Source organism: Homo sapiens, chromosome 8 (genome assembly GCF_000001405.40).
Source record: "Homo sapiens chromosome 8, GRCh38.p14 Primary Assembly".
Classification (NCBI taxonomy): domain Eukaryota; kingdom Metazoa; phylum Chordata; class Mammalia; order Primates; family Hominidae; genus Homo; species Homo sapiens.
In genome coordinates this window covers 129,554,161-129,567,165 of record NC_000008.11, presented here as the reverse complement: position 1 = coordinate 129,567,165, position 13,005 = coordinate 129,554,161, and the positions used below count along the sequence as shown (strand labels likewise).

General features: G+C 39.0%; 1 long non-coding RNA gene across 4 annotated transcripts in view, besides 1 other annotated feature; it reads left to right on the top strand.

The window, feature by feature from the left end:
- Positions 1–13,005, top strand: part of CCDC26 (CCDC26 long non-coding RNA) — a 328,546-nt gene that overhangs the window by 113,074 nt on the left and 202,467 nt on the right. The window lies entirely within an intron of this gene.
- Positions 12,480–12,649: an enhancer, noted in NCBI's record as "active region_27969". NCBI's record gives its function as "activates an Ori minimal core promoter by ATAC-STARR-seq in GM12878 lymphoblastoid cells {active_cell/tissue: GM12878}" and the evidence as "EXISTENCE:reporter gene assay evidence [ECO:0000049][PMID:35858748]".

Here is a 13,005-nt window from a genome sequence, read left to right as displayed (position 1 = left end):
TCATCAGTTGATGACCTTTAGATGAAAAGTTTTGCATGACATTGTTGTGCATCTCTAGGTCACGACTCACTAGAATTTTTATATCAACTGAGATTTCTTATTCTTCCATTAAATATTTTGAAAAAAGCAAACAAACATGTGGCAAAGACCATATGAGGACTATAGAATATTCTATACTATATCTAGCAGTCTCTATCATCTATCTATCTATCTACCTATCTATCTATCTATCTATCTATCTATCTATCTATCTATCTACCCACCCATCTATCTATTATTACTGTTTATGTTAGCATTCTGGAGCAAACGATTAAATTTCAAATCTAGTTCTCAAATTCCTGAAATAAAATTCTTTTTGTTATTTGATAACTATCACAGAATAATTTAATTTCATTCATTCTACTATAGCTGGTAACCAGGATAGCAGTCTTGTTCACCTTAAGAATATTTTTAGCAATGAGGCTGGAAACCAGCAACATATTACTTGATAGATGTTAAGTTGGAAATGAAATACACTAGAATTCTTCCATTTTTCATACTCAGGCTAATACTATTTTGATTATAAGAAGAAGCTTGTCACCATTCAATTACCCTCAGGTGTGATGTCCCAGGGTCACTGAAGTCAGTAGCCTTTACTTGGCTTGGAGAAAGATCTCTCTCCTGGCTCACCCTCATCACCCTGTCCTGAATCTCCTGTTCAAGAACAGGAACTCTGCCTGTCTTATTTATCAGGTCTTTATCTCCCAGAGGGCTAATTTCTAACTTTTGTTTGTTTTTTTTTTTTTTTTTTTTTGAGACAGAGTCTCGCTCTGTCGCCCAGGCTGGAGTGCAGTGGCGCGATCTCGGCTCACTGCAAGCTCCGCCTCCTGGGTTCACGCCGTTCCCCTGCCTCAGCCTCCCGAGTAGCTGGGACTACAGGTGCCCGCCACCACACCCAGCTAATTTTTTTTTGTATTTTTAGTAGAGATGGGGTTTCACCGTGTTAACCAGGGTGGTCTCGATCTCCTGACCTCGTGATCCTCCTGCCTCGGCCTCCCAAAGTGCTGGGATTACAGGCGTAAGCCACCGTGCCTGGCCTAATTTCTAACTTTTATTAACTAAACTATAGTGCAGTCCCTACCATAGTAGATGCTCAATAAGGTTTGTTGTATACATGGATATGTGCTAGGCAGACTGTTTAGAATTTGGAGGTGTCTTTGGGCAAGTGGCAGCTATTTTGAATGTATGGTAGGTGGGTTGACATGAAATGACCACTTCCTGGCCCCATTTATAATTTCCACGTCTGTGGTAAGTTGTTGGGAAGAAACGCCATGTGGGTCCCTTCATTTGCCCTGGGGAGTTCAGTGGGAAGCAGCCACTTCTCACCCGCCAACTTTCTGTGGTTGGAGAATCTAGATCCCTAAATAGCCTCTCCTTTGTGTGCAGAGTTCTAAACATGGCATCCTTTCCCCCTTCAGATCAAAAATTTTGCCTTCATGTCCAATTCATGTGATGCTTGGCCTCTCAAGGAGGACCTGAAAAAGAAGCCAGATGTAAAGACAATAATGCCTGTAGTCTCCTTGCTTGTCTGCATTCTCCCCCTTCCTGGAATCCCCACAGCCGCCAGGCCATTCTTCACAATAAATCCAGGGTAATCTTTCCAAAACACAGGTCCTATCATGCCATACCTTGCTTGAAACTCCATCCATTGGCTTCCCTTTATTTCAAAGCCTACACTAGCTAATTTAGCAAAATAGTCCCGTCCTAATGTGACTCCTTCCCACTTCTCTCTTTACTTCCCAGAGGGCCCTCAGACCTGGTCCCTCCAGTCCCTTTCCATGCACCTTTGCATCATGTATACTCAGCAATAGTGGCTGACTACCTGGATGTTTTCAACTTAAACTAAGAGGGGATGGGGATACGGAGAGCAAGAGAACAATGAACACTCTGAGCAATGTCAACGTGGGCAGCTGGTCCACTCATCGTGCCATATGCCCCTAGGAAGCCAGAGAGGACAGCTATGACTCTTGTTCTTCGCTTCATTGGTGTCAGTCCCCACATGCCCCCCAGAGTGGGAGCATCTCAGAGCATGCTGTCTTTGAACAACATCACCTCCAATTGTTAACTGCTTCATATTTCTCAAATAGTGATCTGATCACAACTCTGTGGAGAAACTGGCTGTGATGGGCTTACTGAGAGACAGTGTATTGGGCTACAAGAAAGCTCCTTCCAAAATGGGACTTTGTAAGGATACATTTGACTCTTTGCAATTTTCAGTTTTTGTGCTGACTCTGGGTATCTTAAGTGGATAACAATCCCTTCCAATGTAAGTGCAGTTCCTCAAGCTTTTTCAGGCCCCCCATAATGTCCCTCCATCTGACAAGTCCTCCTGTATTCATGTTGTGGCTGATTCTGTTCATCATTCAAGCCTCAGCCCAAACTGCCTCTCCTTGGAAGCTTCCTCGGATCCTCCCCAGACTGCACTTAATTATTTACTCTTTTGTGGGAACAGCACAGCCTTCTATGCTTGAAACAAGATTCTCATTGGGAGTGGTAAATTGTCGACTTCATAATTCTAATATTCCTTTTATCTTTACTGCTTGACATAAAACAGAACTTTCTGTGATAAATGGGTCTATTTGCCCTGAAATAGAGTTTTTACTGAAAAGGCAAAATAAACACTTAACTACTTCTTTTTAATTCCCAATTCGGAAAGGGAGAAATTGTTTTTAAGAATCATTCCAAATGGTGACAAATGAGGTTTTGTTTCTGGCTTTCTCTTTTTTGAGTCATTATGGACTCGTGGCTCTAGTGTATTCAGTATATTTTAATTTGCTATAATCACTACTCTTTTTAGTGTTTCAATCATCACAATTTGGGTCAGCAAGAGCTCCTTCCACCTGGTTCTTGTGTTCTTTTGATATGCCCAATTACTCTTTGAAAGCTTCTTTGCCTTTGAACATAACAATATGTTCTAGGCGTATTTTGTACCTTCCCTAATTCAGTCCTGAAAGCAGCCAGTTCTACAAGAACTCTTGATTTTACAAAGCAAAATCTGGTGCCAGGTGTGGTTATTGATACTGGATGACATGGTGGCTAGGCCATTTCAATGAATTAAGACAGAAAATATGTAATTAATAAAACAGAAAGTTCATTTAACTGTCATCACTTCAATTTTAACATTAGTTTTATGCTTAATTTTTGATTTCATGATTGGCTTTTGTTCTCTTAGAACACCATTAATAGAATTCCTCATTTGCTTTCTTGAATGATACAAAGAGAATAGTTTCAAAATAACAATATGAATGTGAACATAAAATAGTCAGATTTAGTTTAAAATTTGATGTAGTTCTTTTGTCCATGAAGTGTATCCCACTAAGAATGTACAAAGTGCTGTGTTCTCAAACATCTTGGGGAAAAAATAATTGTTTCTCTGTGTGATAATATTTCTAAATTGATATATGGTTATATTTATTTGTCTTGGTTTATTTTTAATTTTAGAAATATTTTTAAAAATTAGCTTTACTTTTAATGAATAATGAACCCACATTATTCAAAGGGCATGATGGTATAGAAAGGTATACACAAAGAAGTTTTGTTTCTCTTTCCCTTACATATATTCCCAATGCATTTCCTATAAGGTAACTACTTTTATTAGTTTTTTGTTTACATTCTCTGTGTTTTTCGTCCTCCTGTTTTTGCAGATATATGAAACATATAGAGGTTCATATTTTCTTCCCTTACACAAAAGGTAGCATATTATAACTCTTCTACGCTTTCCTGTTTTCACTTTGCAATACACTCAGATGAATTTTCCATATTACTACATAGATACTGTCCCCATTCTTTTGAATAGCTGCATGTTACTCCATTGTGTGTCAGTTTATTTAACTGTTCCCCATTGCTGAACACTTGAGTTGTTTTTAATGTTTTGATTTATGAATAATGCTATAATGAATGACCTTACACATTTGTCATCTCATGCTTTTGCAAATGTTTCTGTAGGGTAGATTTCTAGAAATAGAATTAATGGGTCAAAGAGAAAGTCAATTGTAACTTTGCTAAACCCATAAACATTTTATTTCTATGCAATATTGGCTACCTTAAAATGATTCAAAGTGAAAGAATAAATTCATCTTAAAAAGTTATTTTAAAAATATAATACAAAGCAGATATGTAGGATGAACAAGTCTAGAGATCTAATTGTATAACATGAGGACTATAGTAACAAAGTTGTATTGCTGGTGATATATATATTTTTTATTATACTTTAAGTTTTAGGGTACATGTGCACAACGTGCAGGTTAGTTACATATGTATACATGTGCTATGCTGGTGTGCTGCACCCACTAACTCGTCATCTAGCATTAGGTATATCTCCCAATGCTATCCCTCCCCTCTCCCCCCACCCCACAACAGTCCCCAGAGTGTGATGTTCCCCTTCCTGTGTCCATGTGTTCTCATTGTTCAATTCCCACCTATGAGTGAGAATATGCGGTGTTTGGTTTTTTGTTCTTGCGATAGATATTTGTTAAATAATTAGATTTTAGCTGCTCTTGTCACAAGAAAGTAATGATCTGAGTTGATAGATATGTTAATTTTCTTCACTGTAGTAACCATTTTCCTACCTATATGTATCCCATAACATCATGTTGTAAACTTCAAATACATTTATTTTAAAAAAAAGTAAACAGGCATTTTGATTTTTTAAATGCCAGGTTGCTTTAAGAAATTTAATCTACCACTATTCCTCTTCTAAGAAATAAAACAAAAACAAAAGTGAACTCAGCAACACCCCAATACCTCACACCCCTCTGTAATTTCTGAATTAAGTAAACACATTATTAATGAGTGGCAACCACATTCCAGTGCTGTGTTAGGTACTAGGGATACAGAGGTGAGTTTGTCCTCATGGAGCTTACAGTTAGGTGAGTGCTGAGAGAGGCATTATACACCCAATGGCCCAAATAATAGTTTTGTTGTAGTTGTGATGGGGCCTGCAAGAAAAAATGAAGGGTGAGATAAACTCATATAACAGGAGACTGTGTCCTTGCTTGGGGAGTGGGGTAAGACATTTCTGTGTGACATTTGTGCCAAGACCTGAAAGATGAGTGGCAATAGTGAGATAAGTAGTAAAGGGTGGAGGAGAGGGTCAAGAGAGCCAATCAGAAAGCGGAAATAAAATTTGCAGACTCTGGAGTCAGGCAAGAGGTTGTTGCAAGTGACAAAGCAGGTCAATGTGGCAGAGCACAGCCAGCCAGAATGAGAGGTATATGTGCTGCTGCCAAAGATGCAGGCTGGAGTTAGCGCTCTAAACAGCTCCCAGGAGGTAGATTGTCCTAGTATATTTTTTGCTGCTCTGACAGAATATCATAGACTGGATAATTTACAAACAATGAGAGTCCATTCACTCATGGTTCAGGCTTGGAAGTCCAAGAACATAACGCTGGCATCTGGTGAGGGCCTTCGTACTGTGTCATCCCATGGAGAAAGGTGAAAGGGCAAGAGAGCATGTGCATGTGAAAGGAAAAGAGAAAATCATCATTTTATTAGAACCCATTCTATTGATAACCCTCTCCCATGATAACACCATTAATCCATTTGTAAGGGCAGAGCCCTCATGAGCTAATCATCTCTTAAGGGTTCTACCTGTCAACACCGCTGCATTGGGGATTAAGTTTCCAACACATGAACTTTGGAAGGCACATTCAAGCCTTACCATAAATTTTCTGAACATTTGCGTTCCCAGCAGCACCTAGAACATAGCTGGCTACAGAGCTGAAAAGCACTAAAGTATGTCCGAGTTAACTGTGGGTGAGTTATTTGAACATCATTTGGACCCCGATGTCTTAAATTAAATGGGATCATTAGGGGGCACTGCTGTCCAAGAATTGCTGCTTTTAAACCACCACTTAAAATCAATGTACGAATGAACATGCAGACCAACACCCTTTCACATGAAGAGTGTTAGAGTGGGAAAACCTTCATGTCACCTGAGGCAATATCCTACAACACTTGGTTAGTATGTATAGTACCAGGAACTAATGGTGCATCCCAGCCACCACCATGATCTTTTCATGCATCATTCCATTTCATTCTCAGCAGCTCCGAGCAGCTTAAGTTTGCCTTTCTATATCCTTAGCAAGGTAGACCCTCTCCATTATTGGGAGTAATTAGTAGAATTATGACTTTATTCTACTTTCTGGGAATAAACAAGTAAATTTCTTAGGAAAGAAACCAAACCAACCAACCAACTAAATAAAAAATCCATTCAGGTTAACGTGTGAAGGTCTGATAAGAATCTAGGGAGGATTTTAAAAAATTATTTTATTTTAATAATTTCTGGGATATTTAATAAGTTCTGGGATACATGTGCAGGACACGCAGGTTTGTTATATAGGTAAATGTGTGCCATGGTGGTTTGCTGCACTTATCAACCCATCACCTAGGTATTAAGCCCTGCATGCATTAGCTATTTAGGGAGGATCATTTTTACCAAGGTATTTGTACTTTGATAATTTACTATCTCCACTACCATCACTACCACTACTAAAGGAAGGCAAATGACATTTACTGAGTGCTTTCAACATACATCCTGGCACCACACTGAATACTTTATATGGATTAAATAATTTAACACTCACAACAATTATAGGAGGTGGGGATAGTTGTTGTTCTCATATAGAGATAACAAAACTTGGCTATAGAAAGGTTAAATAATGACAGACCCAGTCCTAACACTTACAACAACACCATGATGTAGGAACTATTGCTGTCCCTGTCTTACAGATGAGGGACCTGGGTCTTACAGTTAATAAGCTGCAGGCTGGGGTTTGGACCCAAATTATCTTAACTAAGAAAATTATTCGCAAGCTCTAGTGCCACAGACATCGTGAGGTGAGGGAAGGTTATGCTTGCCTTTGTTTCAATGGGTGAGTGCCTCACTACTCTGAGCTCATCCTCCCAACTCAGGGCATTCTACCTAGGCTCCCTACTTACCTGGTTAGTTATGAGGATCAATGAAGATAAAGTGGAAGTATGTGGGCATTTGGTTGAGTGTTTAACAGATCCTGCGATGTGTTCAGTCCTAGCCTGGCACTTACTATCTGTGTGACCTCATCTAAACACGCGGAACTCTTTGGACTGTCCTCGCTTATTTCTTTTGACCCTGCAGAAGTATGTGCAACATTCTGTGAGTGAACAGCTAACAACTCCCCTTTGTTCTTTCTGCAGTCTCACTTAGTTTTCACACTCATTTTATGAAATTGGTACAAATATGGTATCCATTTGACAGATAAAACTAAGGATAGGGAAATTTAAGACATTTGCCAAAGCTACGTCCTAATATATGTAGGAGCCGGGATTTGAACCCCGGCAGGCCTACCTCTTCTTGTCCCACCAACACCAATGTCTTTGAAACCAGACAAGTCCAGGTTTGAATCCAGGCTTTGCTACATACCAGATGTGTGTTAGAGCAAGTTATTTAGCATCTCTGAGCCTCACTTTGCACATCTGTACAATTCTGGGGGTAATATGGTCACTGCTGAGAGAGTGGGAGATGGCTGATGCAAATGCTTGTGCTTAGAGCCTGCCACATAATTAGCTGCTAACAAATGTTAGTTTCCTTTTAGTTGGAATGTTGGTGAGATAAATTGCTCTCTAAAGGCTGACACAATAACTGCCTACCTGAATCCACCAAGTGAGGCTTCAAGGAATTAAGTTGGGCAGCGTTAATTGATCATCTTGTAATTTCCACAACTAAGTTCAGATTAGCCACACTGTATCATAGACCAGTTACATTTGTCACTTACATTTGTCACTTCATGGGGCCTGATGAATACATTGTATCTTTGTGACTAAAATGGGATTTATCTCATTAAAACTAAGGAGTTCTGCAAACAGCCTATGGTGTTTTAATTCTGGCAGGCTGTATTTAATCAGAACAATTGAGTATGCACCTACTGATAGTGTTTCTTTTGGATCATATTCTCCACTTAATGTGCCGTGGGATTGCACTGTTGACTGAAGTTGATGGGAGACTCATCAGGGAGCAAACCGTTTTCTGGAAGCTGAGTGGTTACTGTTTTCATGGCTAGTTATCTGAGCTTTTATTCTTTCTGTTTAAATAAATCCTTGATAGAAGACAATGGTTCTATTTTTCCCTCATTGACTTGTACTTACATGCATTTTCTTCATTCATGTGACACTGATTTATTGGGGTTCCTAGTAGGTAGACACTGTACCAGGTACTGGGTGATACAGAAATAATGCTTAAGAGTTTGTCCCTGATGTCTAGGGGAAAAAGATCTCGGGATGTGGAGGTCAGGGATAGTGCAATGAATCACAATGTTATCAAAATTGAAATTAAACATTTTTATGGTTTATGGCCCAGTGGAAAAGGTCCTAGGAAGAGTTAGCCTGACCTTGGTTAAAGTTCTTACTCCTCCATTTTCTAGTCATGTGTCCCTGGGAAAATTATAACTTTACTGAGCTTTAGTAAAGTCGGTAAACTTTACTTGAGTGGTAAAATTGGGATGATAATATTTACTATATAGTGTTGATGTAAAGACCTAAGGAGATCAAGTATGTAAAATGCAAATTAACTGGGTGATGCTGGACAACTTAGTCTTGTGGAAACACAATTATCTCATCAAAGGGGTACCATTCTTTTCTACTTGATCTCACATATGATACTTTACATGTATTTTCACCTCTTAATCCTAGAAGCAGCTCTATGATGCAGATTTTTTTTCCTTATTCTATCGTTATGATCATGTACTTAGCCCTTCTCCCCCTTGATGGTGAATTCCTCTGAGAGCAAGGGATCCCGTATTAAATGTTTCTGCAACCTCCCAGTCTAAAACACACAATGAATGCTCCATAAATAATTATAGAATGAATATGTTGAGTACTTTGGAGGAAAAATGCCATTAATTTAACTCTTACCATGTACTAAGTCCTAAACATGGCACTAATTTAGTTCTCATATAGCAATAATAATATGAAATATTAATAGCTTTATGTCTATTTTTCAGATGGAGAAACTGAGGCAGTGATAGGCTAAGTGCCTTCCCTATTGTGTTACTCTTAGTAAGTGGCCAAGCCAGGATTTGAACCGTAACAGCTGGCTCCAGAGGGCTTGCTTCTAATTACTATAAGGCACTTCCTGCTGTTAATGAGATGAAGTTTGTAAGATCCTTTTACGCTGGTCTGGTGCTTCAGATAAAGAACTTATCTCATTTGACCCTTTAGGAAAGGCATGGCAAGTATTATGATCTCTACTTGACAGCTGTGGAAACTGATGTTCAAAAGTTAACTGACATGTACAAAGTCACACAGGTAATATACAGTGGAGCACAGTATGCATTTGATTTTATTTTTATTTTTGCAAATTAAATTATTTCATATATGATTTGATATGTTGTACTTTCACTCACCTTTAATAGTGGTAATTTTGCCATATCATAAAATAATTTTAAAAAAACATGATTCATATAAACTACATAATGTTATATCTTATGGATATGCATTAAGTTTTAGACCATTTCCCTGGAAAGAAAGTGTTCCTTTTGCTTTCATTAACATCCTTTTTCATAAACTGAGATCTTGTCTGGATAAATCATTACTTCCTTAGAACAGACTTAACTTAGAAGTGGGTTACTGGGTCAAAGATTGTGAACTCTTGCCTGACTATTATCAAATTGCTCTCCAAGACATGTTACTGCTTAATAGTTATTGAAAGTTGAATGAAACGGAAAAGGCTTTTATCCCAGCAGTGTATGAAATCTCTTCTGTGTTAGTCTGGGTTTGGCGAAGAAAATAGAACCACTACAAGTTTTTTAGGGAAAATAGTTTAATACAGAAATTAGGGCTTACATAAATGTGGGAAGAGCAGGAAAGTGAAGGTCCAGAAGGCTTTATCCAGAAGCACTTCAGCCTAGAGCACTGGAGCTGGTAGAGTTGGAGCTGGCAGAGACATCTGAGAAGCTGTCACAAGGGGTCAACATGATTGTAAAGTTGGAACGCATGGAAAGGTCTAAAATGCCACTGTCTCTGGCCACTAGGATCTCTGACTTCATATCGCTTCTGCCTTCCGAATCTCCTGTGAGTTCTTCCCACTGGCAAATTCTAACTCTGAATCACACCAGGAAGGGATTCTAGTAAATGCAGTTCCTGCCTTAGAAGTGTGGGGTGATAGTGCTGAGCTGATAACTGACAACCCTGGAGATGTCCTTTGTACACTCCGCAGAACTTGATGGGACCTTTTATGACCCTTTGGCAATATGAAAAGAAAGATGTGGCTGTCTTATTTTTTTGCATTTTTTCTTCATGCTGTTATTGGTCACCAACTTATTCAGCAAATATTCCCAAGCATCTAGTAGAAATTGGTCATAGTTTTGCGCTTTGGAGAAACTGGTGAATAAGGCAAAGTCTCTGCTTTCATGAAGCTTACATTCCAGAACAGGGTTATTAGGAAAGGAATAAGTAAAGGAACAAGATACTTTCAGACAGTAATATATATTATAGGAAACAATTGTGGATGATTTTGAAATGAGCAAAAGAGATTACTGAATATTCTGTCAGTAAATCTGGAGCAGCTGGAGATTATCTGGTACTACTGGGATGTGAGTCTTTGCCTTCCACTTGGCTGTTTTATAGCTGTTGAGATAGAAGTTAACTTGTAGAAAACTGGTAGTAAGGCAATGAATTCCTGTCCATAGAAATGCAAACTGCATCTGGTGGAATGCAATTGATTATCACCCTGTGGATATTGAACATTTTTGCCAGTTTGCATGGATTTGTATATTTATTTTAACATTGTTTGTCTGAATATCCATGTGTGGCACTGGTTGTAACATCTCACTGGCTACCTCATTAATGATTGAGCTAATAAAACCTTTTATGAAGTTATTTATTTATGAAATTAATTTTAAATTGATGGATAAAATTGTATGTATTTATCATGTACAACTTGATGTGCTGAAATACATGTACACACACACATATATAGTGGAATAGTTAAATCTAGCTAATTAACAAATGCATTAGCTCACATAGTTCTCCTTTTTGTGGTGAGTTATTTAAAAAATCTTTGATATACGTTCATCCTATATGTGTACAAGGGTCATAACTATACCTCTTATTTATTTGTTTGTTTGTTTATTTATTTATTTATTTGAGACAGGGTCTCACTCTGTCACCCAGGCTGGAGTGCAGAGGCACAATCATGGCTCACTGCAGCCTCAACCTACTGGGCTCAAGCGATCCTCCCACCTCAACCTCCCAAGTAGCTGGGATTATGGACATGCACCACTATACCTGGCTAATTTTTGATTTTTTTTGTAAAGACGGGGTTTTGCTATGTTGCCCAAGCTGGTCTTGAAATCCTGGGCTCAAGCGATCCACCTGCTTGAGCCCAGGAGCTGCCCAAGTCTGCCTTGGCCCTCCCAAAATGCTGGGATTACAGGCACGAGCCACTGTACTGGCCAGTATCTTTTAAGAGAATGTACCCCTTAACAGTTTGGAACAAATAAAAGAGCAAAGTAATTTCAGGTGGTAATATATATCACCAAGAGGACAAGACAGATGTTGTGCTAGAGATCAACTGTGGGAGGGTGGGAAAAGTGCTAATTTGGATCAGGTGGTCAGGGAAGGCCTCACTGAGGAAATTGCATTTGAGCTGAGATTTGAGTGGATAAAGGAAATGGCCCTGTGCAGACAGGAGGGCAGAGTGTAACAGGCAGAGGGAACAGCTGTGCAAAGTCCCTGAGACGTATTCTAGAAACCAACCGCGGTGGGTCAGGAGGTTCATGGCAGAAAGTGCAATCAAAAAGGTTGGTGGGGGCTAGATTATGTTGGGCCTTTTAGGCTAATGCTGAGGCATTAGAATTTTATTCTAAGTGGCATGAGAATTCATTGTAGTTTGATACACTGGAGTGTTGTAACCTGATTTGTATTAGAGAATGGGTTTGTGTATCTTCTTCTATGAGCATTGAATTCTCATTTTGCTCCTCAAATTATTATTATTGAACAAGACATTTTAATTAGCTTATCATGTCTTATCATGCATAAAAATATAATTTTATTTTGATTAATAATTGTAAACAAATGTAATCATGAAAGTTACACATAATAATTGAGGAAACATTTGCAAAATAAACAAATGCACTAAGAGGAAATAAAATCTTTAGCTTTTGGAAATACGGAACACAGCTCATGAATTACTTACTGTCTTTCATTTCTAGGGCGTCTCAGGGTCTTGACCACCTCAAGCCAGGTGAGACACCTTACAGGATGTCTCCTAAGCTGATCAGTCTATGAACATTTAGTGACCTACAGAATCTCCCTGTGACATCTGTTCACTGGGCAACAGCAGCTCACAGGTACTGTTTGCAGGCAGCAGGTGCCAGCGACACCAGAGGCTTTCACCCCAAAACCAGTTCATTTCAGGTCACACATCTGTTCTTTCCTCTGAGAGACACCCACTGAGAAGGCTCTTCCGGCTTGGCAGTCCCAGGGGTAGGTGGTAATCTCCTCCCCGAATTTCCCAACAAGAAGAAATTAACCAGTAGAAAAAAAGCTTGTACAAAGAAAGTAAGAGGAAATTCAATGGAGATACCCAGAGGCTTGTGTGATAGAGGAGAAGGAAATGGGCATTTTTTTTCTAGGCTTGGTATAAAATAAAGATCAATTCTTTACTTAAGGATTGCTATTAAATATTTAAGTCAACAGAGTTAGGTGCCTCTCAGATTGAGACATGAGGTCAGGGAAAGCCCTCCCTCTTAGATGGACGCTACTCTCATCTTATTAAAGACAAGAACAGCCAATGGGAAGGGGACTGAGACCCACAATGGGGTCTCTGGGGTCCACATTTCTATTGATAAAAAGAGCTGGATTATAGAATCAAGTCATAGTTGTCCTGGGCTTGAATCCTCCTGGCAAATTATAACATCTCTCTGAATGATCTTTCCTTGTCTGTAAAAGGAAGTCACATAAAGAGAAGACTCTAGCATGGAGAGAACTTGA